Source organism: Homo sapiens, chromosome 17, assembly GCF_000001405.40.
Source record: "Homo sapiens chromosome 17, GRCh38.p14 Primary Assembly".
Taxonomy (NCBI): domain Eukaryota; kingdom Metazoa; phylum Chordata; class Mammalia; order Primates; family Hominidae; genus Homo; species Homo sapiens.
In genome coordinates this window covers 40325314-40340357 of record NC_000017.11, presented here as the reverse complement: position 1 = coordinate 40340357, position 15044 = coordinate 40325314, and the positions used below count along the sequence as shown (strand labels likewise).

The 15044-nt window shown below is 54.2% G+C and overlaps 1 protein-coding gene across 10 annotated transcripts in view, besides 1 other annotated feature; it reads right to left on the bottom strand.

Annotated features, from left to right (window-relative positions):
• The window catches only part of RARA (retinoic acid receptor alpha), a 48464-nt gene that overhangs the window by 17286 nt on the left and 16134 nt on the right, over positions 1-15044 (bottom strand). For 5 of the 10 annotated variants that reach the window (NM_000964.4, NM_001145301.3, NM_001145302.3 and 2 more), the window contains exon 2: positions 8962-9501. In NM_000964.4, coding sequence (NP_000955.1) covers positions 8962-9139 — 178 coding nt within the window. In that variant the 5' untranslated portion in view covers positions 9140-9501. Of the gene's footprint in view, positions 1-290; positions 3039-8961; positions 9502-9746; positions 9807-12873; positions 14580-15044 lie in introns of those variants that run through there. The other 5 variants (XM_011525095.2, XM_047436507.1, XM_047436506.1 and 2 more) reach the window with 4 other exon arrangements.
• Positions 14061-14120: an enhancer, noted in NCBI's record as "active region_12143". NCBI's record gives its function as "activates an Ori minimal core promoter by ATAC-STARR-seq in GM12878 lymphoblastoid cells {active_cell/tissue: GM12878}" and the evidence as "EXISTENCE:reporter gene assay evidence [ECO:0000049][PMID:35858748]".

Genomic DNA, 15044 nt, shown 5'->3' with positions numbered 1-15044 from the left:
AGGAAAAGCCATAGAAAGGTTCCAAGCAAAGGAAAGATCAGATTTACAGTGTAAAAAGATCTTTCCAGTAGTTGTGTGAAGAATGGATTATAGGAGGGCAAGAGAGACCAGGTAAAAGCTACTGCAGCAGTCCAGGCATCAGACAAGGGTGGCTTGGCCTAGGAAACTGGAAGTGCTGATGGACAGAGGAAGGTGGATTCAATAAACATTTTAAAGGTACAAATAACGTGGGGGGGTGGGGGTAAGGGGTATGGGAAAAGAGGTAGCAAAGAGACTTGTGTGTGACTTACGCATCAGTGAAGTTCCTGAGACTGCAAAGCAGAGAAGTCCACTGGGCTGCTGGACAGGTGGATGTGGGGCCCTGAAGTGCAGTCAGGGCTACAGATGGAATGCTGGGGTCTGGGGGCAGGTATGCAAATCTTGACAGTGGATGAGACTAATGGCGAAGAGGACAGAGTGCTTCCATGCCTTCGGGATCTTTCAAATGATGGAGCAAGGCTCTGCGCTCACAGCTGCAAGGCGCTAAGGGACCTGAGACTCTGTCCCTGCCATCAAAGACCTTGTGGTCAGGAAAAGATGTCCCAAATGGTTACAGCTCATGGCAGGAACAGGGGAGAAGCAACTTCTGGGTAGCGAGATGAGTGTTGTTAAAAAATAAATAAGGACCCACAGGCATTCTAAGTAGGGAGGCAGAGTGTGGCAAGCAAGGGGGAACATCTGTGAAGATTTCTGGGAAGAGGCGGCATTCAAGATGTTCCTTGAAGGATAGATAGGATTTCCGGAGCTGGAGAGGAGAAGCTAGGGCAAGAGGCCCGTTCTGGGCAACAGCAAGGTCATGGGGCAGGTCAGAGCAGAACACAGTGTCCTGGGGCAGTGGGAGAAGTGGGAAACAAGGAAGGCTCTGGCCCGCAGCTGGGGCTGGGGGGCCTCCAGCGGCAGCTGTCTGCAGGCCTGGGGCCCCATCCTGCTCAGCCTTATCCCTCCCTCAGCTCCTTCTCAGGGCTTTGCGTTTAGTAAGCCCTCAGCAGGTGCAGGCCAAACTGGCCCCCACTTGTGCCAGGCAGGGCCCCCTCCTGTCCCCAACCCCATCTGGAGGGGACAACAAACAGGAAATCATGAGGCCCAGTGCCAGGTGGACACTGGCTCCCAGTATAGAGTGGCACCATCCCCCAAGACAGTACCCAGCTCTACCCTGCCCCTCACTATCACAGCCTTGCTGGGTACGTGAAACTCACCAAGGGCCTCAGCAGGAAGCAGGCGACCGTGGCCTAACGGCAACTCGCCCAGCCAAGGAGAGATTAGAAGTTTTGCTCTATTTTTTTATTTTTATTTATTTATTTGAGACAGAGTCTCGTTCTGTCACCCAGGCTAGAGTGCAGTGGTGTGATCTCAGCCCACTGCAGCCTCCACCTCCCGGATTCAAGCAATTCTCATGCCTCAGCCTCCCAAGTAGCTGGGATTACAGGTGTGCACCAGCATGCCCAGCTAATTTTGGTATATTCTGTAGAGATGGGGTTTCGCTATTTCGCTATCTTGCCAAGGCTGGTCTTGAACTCCTGAGCTCAAGCAATCCTCCCACCTCGGCCTCCCAAAGTGCTGGGATTACAGGCATGAGCCACCGTGCCCACGCTTTTTTTTTTTTTTTTTTTTTGAGTCCAAGTCTTGCTCTGTTACCCGGGCTGGAGTGCAATGGCGCGATCTCGGCTCACTACAACCTCCACCTCCGGGTTCAAGTGATTCTCCTGCCTCAGCCTCCCGAGTAGCTGGGATTATAGGTGTGAGCCACCGTGCCCAGCCAGAAGTCTTGCTTTAAGGAGGAGGAAACAGATTTGGAGAGAGCTTGGGTGACCTGCCCAAGGCCACACAGGAAGAACTGTCCTTTAAGACTCCTGCCCATGGAAGGCCCTTGGTCTGTGGGCTGGTTGAGGTTTCCAGCAACCCAGAAGTCAAAATGGGGAGGGGAGCACCTCTATTTCTGACAGCCAAAGGTTGAGTGGCCTCCAGTCAACCCTGGGAGGCCCAATCCCTCGCTGTGCCCCAACTCCACAGAGGAGGAGGAGGAAGAAGGCACTGCCCCAAAATGACTTAGAGATGGAAACCACTTCCTCTTCCCACAGACACTACTCCCTCAAAGGGCAGGCAGGCCTGCACTGGTACAGCCCCATAAGCAACACATCCCTTGGCATGGGGTAGACACAATACCTCGGCCCTGACCCACCTAAAAGGAAGACGGGCTTCCTTCCCTGAGTTCCCTCCCCGCGTCTATGCTGGGATCTTGTCCAGAGGGAACCTGTGCATTATCCTTGCTGGGAGATAAAAGGTGAGGGACCCCATTTTCATTAAAAACTCCATGTCATGTTCTTTTGTCTGACTCTACATTTCGGACTCCAAGAAAGGCATTGCTAGGCAGCACTCCCTCCACCTGGGCTGTCCCTCTGCCTGGGCTGTCCCTCCGCCTGGGCTGTCCCTCCTATTGTCCAGGGAAAGAGTGGGAAGCAGGGAAGGAGGCAGTATGCACAGACTGCAACAGCGAGGAAGTGGCAGAGGATAGGAAGAAGGGAAGGACACAACCTCCTCCTTTCTGCCTTCTGCTGGGGCTCACCCAGACCCTCGGGCATTCCCCAGTCTCTAGGCACACGAAGCAAACATGCAGCCACCCTTTTGGGGCTCCCATCCCCGGCTCCTCTGTTGATGGCTTGCAACTTCTTTGCCTCCATCCACAAATTGAAACAAATTAAGAATAAGAACTGTGGCTTTTACATTCTGTTCCTTCAGTGTCTGGAGATCGGGGGGAGGGTGCCCGCTGAGTTCTGCAAACTCCCGTGGGCTACAGCGGGCAGATTTGGGGGTGGGGATGGTGTGAACAGATTGTATCCACAGCTTCCAGGACAGGATGGAGATCTGGCCCAGGCCCCTTATCTTTCTTTCTCTCCAGCCTTCAGGATCCAAAACAGAGAGGAGGGGGTATGGCTTGGGCCTTCCCTACACCCCCTACCGGGGAAAGGTAGGTTCTAAGGCAGAGAAAGGGCCTCTACAGTGGGGAAGGGGGTTTCAGTCAGCACTAAGCCCCACCCCCCACACTTCCCACACCCAAGAGTGTGCCCCACAATCCACTCTCAAAGCTGCCTATGTAGATGGTGGAAAACAGCCCAGCTTTACAATCCTACAGTCATGATTCTGCAGTACTTTAACCTCCCCCAGCACTGTGTCCTCTGTGTAAGTGGGGATAATGTCCCTCTTCCAGGATTGCAGGGATTAAAATTTGTAAAACACAGACAAAGCCCCTGACACACAGTAGGTGCTCTATAGATGTTAGCATCCCATTCTCTCCAGCTCCCACCTACAAAGGGTCTGGGTCACGGCCAGGCACAGTGGCTGATGCCTGTAATCCCAGCACTTTAGGAGGCCGAGGCGGGCGGATCACAAGGTCAAGAGATGGAGACCATCCTGGCCAACCAACATGGTGAAACCCCACCTCTACTAAAAATACAAAAATTAGCTGGGCGTAGCGGCACACGCCTGTAGTCCCAGCTACTTGGGAGGCTGAGGCAGGAGAATCGCTTGAGCCCGGGAGGCAAAGGTTGCAGTGAACCGAGATCGAGCCACTGCACTCCAGCCCGGGTGACAGAATGAGACTCCGTCTCAAAAACAAAACAAAAAAATAACAACAAGCCGGGCGCGGTGGCTCATGCCTGTAATCCCAGCACTTTGGGAGGCCGAGGCAGGCGGATTGGGAGGTCAGGAGATCGAGACCATCCTGGCTAACATGGTGAAACTCCATCTCCACTAAAAATACAAAAAATTAGCCGGGCATGGTGGCATGCATCTGTAGTCCCAGCTACTTGGGAGGCTACAGGAGAATGGCTTGAACCTGGGAGGCAGAGGTTGCGGTGAGCCAAGATCGTGCCACTGCACTCCAGCCTGGCTAACAGAGCTAGACTCTGTCTAAAACAAATAAATAAATAAATGAATAAATGTCTTTGGCCAGGTGCAGTGGCTCACACCTGTAATCCCAGCACTTTGGGATGCCGAGGTGGGCGGATCACCTGAGGTCAGGAGTTCAAGACCAGCCTAATAAGGAGGAACCCCATCTCTACTAAAAATACAAAAAAATTAGTCCAGCATAGTGGCGGGCGCCTGTAATCCCAGCTACTCAGGAGGCTGTGGCAAGAGAATCGCTTGAACCTGGAGGCAGAGGGTTTCAGTGAGCTGAGAGATTGCACCACTGTACTCCAGCCTGGGCGACAGAGCAGGACTCCGTCTCAAAACAAACAACAACAAAAAAGAAACATGCTCAGAGAGGTTATCAGCAAGTTGTATGTGACATAAATGTCCAAGTTGTTGTTGTTTTTGAGACAGGGTCTTGCTCTGTCACCCACCAGGCTGGAGTGCAGTGGCGTGATCATAGCTCACTGCAGCCTCAACCTCTCAGGCTCATGCAATCCTCCCACCTCAGCCTCCCGAGTAGCTGAGACTATAGGCACACGCTACCACACCTGGCTAATTTCTTCTCTTTGGTAGAGGCAGGGTCTCACTATGTTGTCCAGGCTTGTCTCAAATTCCTGGGCTGAAGTCCCTACCTCAGCCTCCAAAAGTGCTGGGATTACAGGCAGGCGCCACTGCACGCAGCCAGTGTCTTAAGTTTTATTTTATTATCTTTTTTTTTCGGAGACAGAGGCTCGCTCTATCCCCCAGGCTGGAGTGCAGTGGCATGATCTCGGTTTACTGCAACCTCTGCCTCCTGGGTTCAAGCGATTCTCTAGCCTCAGCCTCCCGAGTAGCTGGGATTACAGACACGTGCCACCTCGCCTGCCTAATTTTTGTATTTTTAGTAGAGATGGGGTTTCACCATGTTGGCCAGGCTGGTCTCAAACTCCTGACCTCAGGTCATCCGCCCGCCTTGGCCTGCCAAAGTGCTGGGATTACAGGCATGAGTCACCACGCCCAGCCCAGTGTCCAAGTTTTAAACTCAGCACTAAATGCCTACTCCACAGCCCCCAGTCAGACCCCTTTGCCCATGGAATTCCCAGGGTGAACAAAAAAAGGCAGATCAGTTCTCCCCTCCAGCCAAGAAAGGTTAAGAACCCAAACGAAAGACCACTCCTCTTTAAACACTCTGTGCCCTAAGTCACTCCCCCTCCCAGCCCCAACACCAACACACAGACAGGCTGACTCTCCCTCCTTAGCTCTGGATTTAATTCCCCCAAAACACACTCAGCTCTCTAACCCTCTCACCCAATACACACAAGTCATTAATCCCCTTCCCAACACACACCCAACCGTGACCCCACCCCCAAAACACACACAGCCCTGACCCGTAGTGCACACAGAATCTGAGACCTCCACAGTAAACACCAGTCTTCAGAGACCAAGCCCCAGGGGCCAGTTTAGGGGGCGGGGAGAATCGCCGGACCATCTCTAGGGCTCCCACCCTGGCTGTAGCAGAACAAATACACAGCCCTCCCCACAGTGACCTGGAGAGGGTTTCTGTTGGTCCCATAGGCTACTAGGTCTCTGAAGGGCGCACCCAGGCCACCTAATGTGCTGCCTCCTCCCCACCTGGGGAAAGGGATGAGGGGGAGGAGGGACCCAACACCTTTGTTGGATGGGGAATGGGAGTAGGAAGCCTCATCAGCAAGAATTCCTACAAAAAGGGTATGGGCAGACTGGGGCATACCACTGCTCCTGCAGGAATGGAGGACCATGGATTGCCACCTCTCCTGGGAACTGCCTCACCCTCAGCACCAGCCCTAAGGCCAGGCAAGCAGGGAAGGCTAAACTGCCTCCATCTCTGAGGCCAGGCATGTGATAATTTTATCTGCCATGCTTTCCTACTCAGAGCTCAGGAGCTCTGTCCACCAGGCAGCCCTGGCTCTGCAGAAGGAGGGAGATGCCAGGCTCCCTCAGACCCATGGCCACACCTTGTCCCAGAGAAGAGGAAGGTCAGTGAGAAGCTCAGAAGCTAAGGGTCTGGGCAGGGAGAGAAGTTGTTGTTGTTTACTAGGGAGAGGGGAGGGGCAGGGAAACCAAAAGGCTCACAGAGGGAGGGGGCAGGAAGGGGGCATTGCCTAACCTGGGTGGAGAAAGCCGAAGAAGGCTACACTTGCCTGAAATGTGGGCACCCCACCCACATTTGGGGAGAAGGTTACCAGGATGGGAAGCCTTCCCCACCCACCTCTAAGAAAGAGGAAGAAGCTTGCAACATTGAGGGGAGGGGAAGGCAAAGCATTTGCTCCCTCTGGCCAGGATGGGCAAGGATGGGGCCAGGCCCCAGCCCCCACCTCCAACCCTCCAATGAGCCCAGGCTCCAGATGGACAGAGTGTCTGGGAACTCTGTTGCCATCACCTGGGTTAGGACAAGTTGTCCACAGGCACCAGGTCGCAGGTCCCTAACTCCTCCCCCGTCAAAAATCCTACCCTGAGCTGGGTGCAGTGGTACATGCCCATATCTCCAGCACTTTGGGAGGCCAAGATAGGAGGACTGCTTGAGCTCAGGAGTTTGAGACCAGCCTGGGCAACATGGTGAGACCTTGTCTCTATGAAAAATCAAAAAATCAGCCTGGTGTGGTGGCACGCACCTGTAGTCCCAGCTACTCGAGAGGCTGAGGCAGTAGAACGCCTTGAGCCCAAGAGTTCAAGCCTGCACTGAGCTATGATCATGCCACTGCACTCCAGCCTGGGAGACAGAGTGAGACCCTATGAGAAAAAAAAAAAAGAAAGAAAGCCAGGCACAGTGGCTCATGCCTGTAATCCCAACACTTTGGGAGGCTGAGGCGGGCAGATGACTTGAGGCCAGGAGTCCAAGACTGGCCTGGCCAACATGGCAAAACCCCATCTCTACTAAAAATACAAAAAAAATTAGCTAGGTGTGGTGACACGCACCTGTAATCACAGCTACTCGGGATGAGGCATGAGAATCGCTGGGAGGCCGAGACTGCATTAAGCCAAGATGGTGCCACTGCACTCCAGCCTGGGCAACAGAGGAAGACCCTGTCTTAAAACATAAAAATGGCCAGGCGCGTTGGCTCATGCCTATAATCCTAGCACTTTGGGAGGCCAAGGCGGGCGGATCATGAGGTCAGGAGTTCAAGACCACCCTGGCCAATATGGAGAAATCCCGTCTCTACTAAAAATACCAAAAGTAGCCGGGCATGGTGGCGTACGCCTGTAGTCCCAGCTACATGGGAGGCCGAAGCGGAAGAGTTGCTTGATTCCGGAAGGCGGAAGTTGCAGTGAGCCGAGATCGCACCACTGCACTCCAGCCTCGGTGACAGAGCAAGACTCTGTCTCAAAAAAATAAATAAATAAATAAAAATAAAACCCTACCCTGTCAGGAAGCAGACAGTCTTCTAGTTCCAGTGATCCAAGTCCAGAATGTAAATCACAGTCCCTTTAAATGCAGTGAATATTCTACAAAGATACACCAATGCATTCCCTAGTAGCCCCAAACCCCAGAGGCTGGCCTCTCCCCATCACTAACACAGACTATAGGACCAGACCAGAATCAGAGTCCCCAGACTCCATCCATCCCATACTCCTATATGAGGTGGAGAGAAGAGACAGCAGAAACAGAAGATGAAGGTTTGATAAGGGGTGGCAGGAGAAACTGAGGCAGCACCTGCCTGCCCCCTGGCCCCAGGGCATAAAGGGCGGGGAACACAAAGAAACACAGACATAGAGTCCCTGCTCCTGGTGGCTGGTGGAGCCTGGGAGGGAGGGGGCCACAGCTAAGCCAGAGGAGGCGATCCAGGAAGCAGTGGTGGTGGTGGGCACCCAGCCAGTGCGGGCAGTGAGGCGCCCAGCCAGGGCCTGCCCCAGGGACAAAGAGACTCCCTGGCTCCGGGGAGAGAGCGCTGCCCCCACACTGAGAAGGGGGCACTGACCCAGCCCAGCCAGGCACATAGGGCAGTGGTGCCAGGCAGCTTGCCAGCAGCCGTGAGAGGGGTGGTGGGTGCACAGGGCAAGGTGTGCAGTCCCTGCTGGCCAGGAGAGGTGGGGACACGTTTCCCAGGTCAGCAGCTGACCAGCCGGCCAGCCAGCAGCCCATGGCCCATTCTGCTGCTTCCACCCTCTCCCGTCCCAGGCCAGGCCCCGGCTCCCTCCTCCCCCCAGCCCTGGCCTGGCGCCCAGCTGGGCCCTGGGGGCCAGAGTTACTGTAAGCGGCCTGGCAGGCCCCAGCCCTGGACTCTGCCAGCTGGCCAGAGCTGCCGCCACCTCCCACTACCTGGCTCGGCCAGCCGGCGAAGGGTACTGAGACCCCTGCCCAGCCAACAAGTGACCTCCATGGCAGAGGGTGGAGGCAAGGAAAACACAGGCCCTGCCAAGACCATGCATGCGTCCGAGGCCAGAGTCCAGGCCAAGTGTCCCCTCCTGGGACACTCACCCTATCCACCCAGCTAGACCGTGGGCCCCTCCCTCTCATCCTCCCCACAAAGGGAAGCACATCCTAGCATGGCCGGGGGTGGAGCTGGCAGGGGGAGAGGTGGGGTTCCAGCCAGCCTTCCTCGGTCTGCTCCTTCAAGCCCTTTCCCTCAGAGGCACTGAGTGGGGGTGGGGCGTAGGTGGTGTGCTGCTCTCACTCTAGGTAGAGCTGCCATTTCCATCAAATGTCAAGAGGTTTGTTTACCCACCTCCAACCTGTGTGTCCAGTCCTTGGAGCTATTTATAAGGCCCCAACAGCAGAGCACAGAAGAGGGGTGCGAGGGCCACTGCAGGCCAGAACAGCATGGTTTCATCTCCCCCTCTGCCACCCCCAACTTCAAACACAACCACCATGATCAGCCTATAGGCCATAGGGCTTTCATTTTTAAGACCTCAAATGATGGTCACCCCAACTGGAGAAGACCTTGTCGCTCACCGTGCCTTCCACTCACAGCAGAACAGACGTGCCCAGAGCCCAAGCTCTGAGGCCTGCCACCCTCCACAGTCCCTTCCCACCCCAGCCCCCACACCCAGACTTACTGGCTGGGGATGGTGTGCTATATCCACTAACTGGAAGCTGGTGCTGGAGAGTGGTCAGAGCGCCTGGCGGGGAGAGTCCACCCAGCATAGGGGGGAAGAAGAAGGCGTAGGGAGGCACCGGGTACCCATTGAGGTGCCCGCCCCCAGGTGTCGGGCAGGAGCTGCTGTTGCTGGCCATGCCAAGCGGCCACAGTCAGAAGGGAGGCAGACAGTCTGGCAGGGGGCTCTGGTGGGCTTCAGACCACCCCTCCTCGGGGCATGGGGCCTGGGCCCAGATGGGGTTTGGGTGGTCAGCCCACCCGCCCTGTCCTGGAGCTGCTGTCCAAAGAGGGCAGGCTAATCTCAGTCTCCTGGAGCCCCCACCCTAGCTGGGGGCCAGGTGGGTTGGGGGATGTCTCAAGAGCCGGTCCTTTGGTCAAGCAGTTCTGTGAGCTGGCACTTTTCCTGGGAAGGTCCAGAGCTGGCCTTCAGGGCACCAAAAAAGATGCCACTCCTAGATGGGCCCCAGCTAGGTGGCTGAGGGGGCCATGTCCTGTGATGCTGCAGAAAAAAGAAAGACAGGTGAGTGGGCACTGAAGAACAGGCACACAGGCATTCCCCGTGGAGCTCCCCAACCTGGGCTGCCGGAGATTTTCCCGTGGCACCCAGCTGAGCAGACAGCTGGCACCATGCCTGGCTGGCAGAGATGACCTGGAAGCAGGGCCCAGACACTGCTGGGGGTGGCAGATAGCACAGCCAGGCTGGGGAGACAGGGACAGAGCCCAGAACCTTGGAGGGCCTCTCACCCACAGTCCTGAGGGGAAAGGGTCCACAGTGCCACCTCAAGGGATCACTGCAGCAGAAACGGGCAGCTGGCCCTCCTTCCCCCAGTGAGGGTTACCTGAGGTCAAGATGCAGAGAACGTGTGCTGGGGGGGAAGAGGGAGGGGGAGGAAAAGCCGCTTCCCTAAAGCATTGGCACTTCTCAGAAAAATGACTCCTAAGCCAGGGGGCCCCTCTTACACCACTTCCCCCCCAGATCCAAGCCCCAGCACCCCAGACGGGTTTGTCCCACAGGCCCTGGGAGGAGGCCCATTTACGTACACACTAATAGGAAAATGGGAACCAAGGACTCCTAGGTATCACCTCCAATGCTTAACAGCATGGATGGTCCAGGGGTAGGCGATGTGTAGGAGGGCAAGGACCGCCCAGGAAGCCTCCTACCCCCAGGCAATGAAGGAGAGATTGATCTCAAGGTTCACCCACATACTTCTGTCTGCAGAAGCAAAACACATGAACTGGGGTGGGAGGTGGGCAGAAGATGAAAGGCCAGATGCCCCCTTCACCAGTGTGAATACAGATCCACACCCTGTTTGAACAGCTGGCACCAGAGGATATGCACAGATAATACCATGGGGTAGAGACAGAGACAGAGATGAACCCAGAGATTCCATAACACAGTGAGACAGATAGGCAGCAACAAGAGCAAAGAGAGAGAACACGAAGAACATATCCATACGAGGACAAGAGGATGTTTCAAATCCATTTTGGGTACAGGTTATATATAAATACATATGCATGTATTTATATATGAAAAATACATATATGAAAGACAAAAGAAAAGAGACAGACAAAAAGAAACATGGCCAATCAAAAGCACAATGAGGCTGGGGGCGGTGGCTCACGCCTGTAATCCCACCACTTTGGGAGGCTAAGGCAGGTAGATCACCTAAGTCAGGAGTTCAAGACCAGCCTGGCCAACATGGCAAAATCCTGTCTCTACTAAAAATACGAAAGTCAGTTGGGTGCGGTGGCTCACACCTATAATCCCAGCACTTTGGGAGGCTGAGGCAGGTGGATCACCTGAGGTCAGGAGTTTGAGACCAGCCTGACCAACATGCCGAAACCCCATCTCTACTAAAAAATACAAAAATCTACTAAAAAATTAGCTGCGCATGGTGGCAGGTGCCTGTAATCCCAGCTACTTGGGAGGCTGAGGCAGGAGAATCGCTTGAACCAGGGAGGTGGAGGTTGCAGTGAGCTGAGATCACACCATTGCACTCCAGCATGGGTAACAGAGCAAGACTCCGTCTCCAAAAAAAAAAAAACACACACACAAATACAAAAGTTATCCAGGCGTGGTGGCACATGCCTGTAATCCCAGCTACTCAGGAGGCTGATGCACGAGAATTGCTTGAACCTGGGAGGCAGTGAGCCGAGATTGTGTCACTGCACTTCAGCCTGGGCAACAGAGTGAGACTCCATCTCAAAAAAAAAAAAAGCACAATGAGATACCACTTCATACCCACTAGGCTAGCTCTAATAAGAAAGACAGATAATAACAAGTACTGGCGAGGATGTGGAGAAATTGGAATCCTCATATATTGCTGGTGGGAATGTAAAATAGAATAGCTGTTTTGGAAAACAGTTTGGCAGTTCCTCAAAAGGTTAAACACAGCGATGGCATATGACCCAGCAATTCTACTCCTAGGTATCTACCCAAGAGATATGACAACGTAAGTCCACAGAAAGACTTATACATGAACATTCACAGCAGCGTTATTCCTAATAGTCAAAAAGTGGAATCAACCCAAAAGTCCATCAACTGACGAATAAATAAAATGTTGTATGTCCCTACAATGGAACATTATTCTGCCAAAAAAAGAATGAAGTACTGATACTATGATATGGATATTCCTTGAAAACATTATACCGGTTACAAAGACCATGTATTGTAGGATTCCATTTATATGAAATATCCAGGATAGGCACATTTATAGAGACAGAAAGCAGACTTGTGGTTACCAGGAGCTGGGGCGTGGATTTGAGGAATATGGGAAGTGACTGTTGCTGGGTATGGGGGCTCTTTCTGGGGTGATGAAAGTGTTCTAAAATTGATTGTGGTGGTAGTTGCACAACTCTGAATATACTAAAACCACTGAATTGTACACTTTAATGGGTAAATTTTATGGTATGTGAATTATATCTCAATAAAGCTGTTTTAAAAAGAAGAGGAAAGAAAGAAAAGAAACAGGGCCACAGAGACTCAAAATAAGGACTGTCCATTTCCAACACCCCCTATACCTTGCCACTCCACCCCAAGCTCAGGCTACACTAGGTTCCAAGCTCTGAACTCCAGACTCTAGCCTCAAATCTGGAGTCCAGGGGACAAGCACATGGCCAGCATTTGGTTGAAGACCAGGCCTGGGAAGGGGGAGTTCCTGCCAAGGCCACTGTGGAAGAGGCCAGGAATTCTGGCCCAGCTGAGCCAGCCAGCCTGTGTGGAACTGAGGGAGAGAGGGTGGGAGGGGACAGGTACTGGGCTAGGGAGGGGAGGCTGCCCCAGGAGTAAAATCTGGACCTTGCTAATAACCACGATTTTTACTGTTACTCATTATGACAATCATAGGGCCTCTCTCCTCACTCCTGAATAAAGAGCTCCCTTCCTACCCCAGGCCCCTGCCAATTCCCTCCTAGGCTGAGAGGGCTGATGTCAGAGGAACAGGGGCCCCACCCACTGGACCAGTTGCCGCCCTGGCCCCCTCCCAACTCCTGTGGGGCCCCACACAACGGGAACTGGAGCTGGGGGAGCCATGCAAGGGAAGAAGAGGCTGGCAGAACCTCATCAGTTCCTACAGTTGGACCCTCACACACAAATACACATACAAACTCATGCATGCAGGTCTACAGAAAACATCTGGGTGGGCAAGAGCACGCCTGCAGCCCCAGCCTGTGTGTGTGCAGGCATGCATGTGAGGAGAAGGAACCTGGAGATACCATCTCTCCACACCTGGGCTCCACCACACAATGAACACAGCTCAGAAACTGCATGCATGGGCCCCAGTACACAGCTCCCCAAAGACACAACCACAGCCCCACAGTCTCCCAAACTGTACATTCTCCGAACCTCACACAGCCAGGGTGGCCCTTGTACCTGCTGCTTCTGCCAGAAGATGCTCTGAGGTCCTCCCTGTGGGCCCAGCCCATGCACCAGGTCCACAAACACTCAGGTGAATTCACATCCACAGAGGCCTGCCTCTCTCAAGGTGAGGCCCAAGGGGCAGCTAACCCAAAGTGAGGCCTCTGTAACCCACGCTGAGGCCCAGAAAGCCATCACTCCAGATCTCAGGCATCCTGACCCAGCCTTTGGGGGTCGGGAGGCCAGTTTAGTCAGTCCAGCCTGGACCCTCTGGAACCCACCCTTGCTCCCAGAGAAGAGAAAACCACAGCCACCTCAACTCTGCCCCAGTGGAGTTTGAAATTGAATCAAACTTCAATCCCCACTACCCCCACCTCACCCCCAGCCCACCACCCACACACACTACAGGGCAAGGCTGGAAGGCCTCCCCAGACCCCTATCAGAGCCTCCAAAAAGCCTAACCCAGCTCTGCCTGCAAATTTCAGTGCAAATTTACTCAGCTCCCTGGGGAGGGCCTTGAGCCGCAGGAGGGCTAAAGGTCACAGAAATAGGCCAAGGGCCAGAAAGACCAGAGAACAGGGATGGGCAAGGGTAGGGATGACCAGGGTGGGCCCAAAAGGGCACAGACTCTGCCTCAGAAGGTCCATCAGAAGCTATGACCCTCAGAGAGACACCTGGGCCCCAGCCCCCTACACCCCAGGGGTGGAGAAGGCCTCGGCAGAGAATCGAAACCAGTACCAAAGAGAGGGAAAACAAACTACCCACATCCAACCTCCACCCTATGCCAGCCACCTCCACTGCCCACGGGCACCCTCCCCTGAGAGAGAGAAAACCACAGGCCCACACCTCCAATATATGGAGCCTAGCCTAAGCACAGCAGAAAAAGGGGTAGGGGGCTAGAGCACCTGCAACCAGCCCCACACTCCTGCCCACTGGGGCCGCTCTCACCCTCAGAAGGTGCCAGGATCCCTTCTCCAGCATCAGCATCCCTAGCTGCCCACGCGTTACACCCCAGAGTCACACACCTAGAGAAAAAGGTGAGAGCTTTCTGAGCCACGAAGATGGGAGAAAGAACCAGAAGTCGGAAGGGTCAAATCTCAGCTCTGCCACTCTGGGTGACCTTACGCAAGTCACTTAACCTCTCTAAGCATCTGTTTACTCGCCTGTGAACTGCCTACCTCAACAACGAGCTGTGCGATTTCAGACAGGAAGTCCTGGAAAGCACCCAGACCAGAGCTTGGCACAGGGGAGGCCCGGGCAACTGGAGCCCTCCATCCCCATGCCTCTTGCCACCACCTTGGTGCCCCTCAGCAGTCGGCCTGCTTTCCCTTGCCTCACCCCACCCAGGGCAACATCTGTTGACGGGGCCAGGAGGGAGAATTACCCATTTCCCAGGGTCTGCTTCCCTCGGATGGAGGAGAGGGATGTGGGGAAAGGGATATTCGGGGTGTGGGTGGAGGCCTGACCACAACCCATTCCCAAATTCCCTTCTTTCATTTCACAAACCAAAAAAGGGAAACCTTTGGATTTAGGGAGGGGAGAAGGGGAAGAGAAATAGACCATTTCCTCCCTTATACTCAGGACAGAAGAGCAGGGGACCCCAAACTCAGCCGGGACTGGCCCCAACCTCTCTTCCTCATTCATTCTCTCTGTTCTCCAGTCTCCCCCAAAACAACGGTTCCCAAGAAATAGAGGTCAGGCAGTCTCAGAGGGGCTGAGAGAAGGGGAAAAGTATTGGGGAGCTTAAAAGAAGGGGAGACTGGGGGTTTCCTAAGCATTCTAGACAGTTAGTGAATCATATGCAAATGACACCCAGAGCTCAAGCTCAACTTGGGCAGGAGGGACTCTAGCCCTGGCAGAAACAAAGCCCTGCCGCCTTTGGACCCCTGTCCCGCCAGGAGCTGGCCAAGCAGGGCAGAACAGAGTAGATTCAAAACTAGAACCATTTAGAAACTTTCCAGGAAAACACACTCCCATACATACAAAGCCACAACCTCTCCCCTCCCCAGCGCCCCTCATATCTGCAGACAGGGGTTGGGGAGCAGTGATGACTACTCCCCGCTTTTTCAAGGGTCCCCTCTGGCCAAGGCTCTCACCCCTCTCCTCCCTGGCAAGCCTACAATCCGGCCACTCGGGTCCTCTGTTTCCTGTCTGTTCACCAGGGTCTGGGCTGCAGGAAGCCAGGT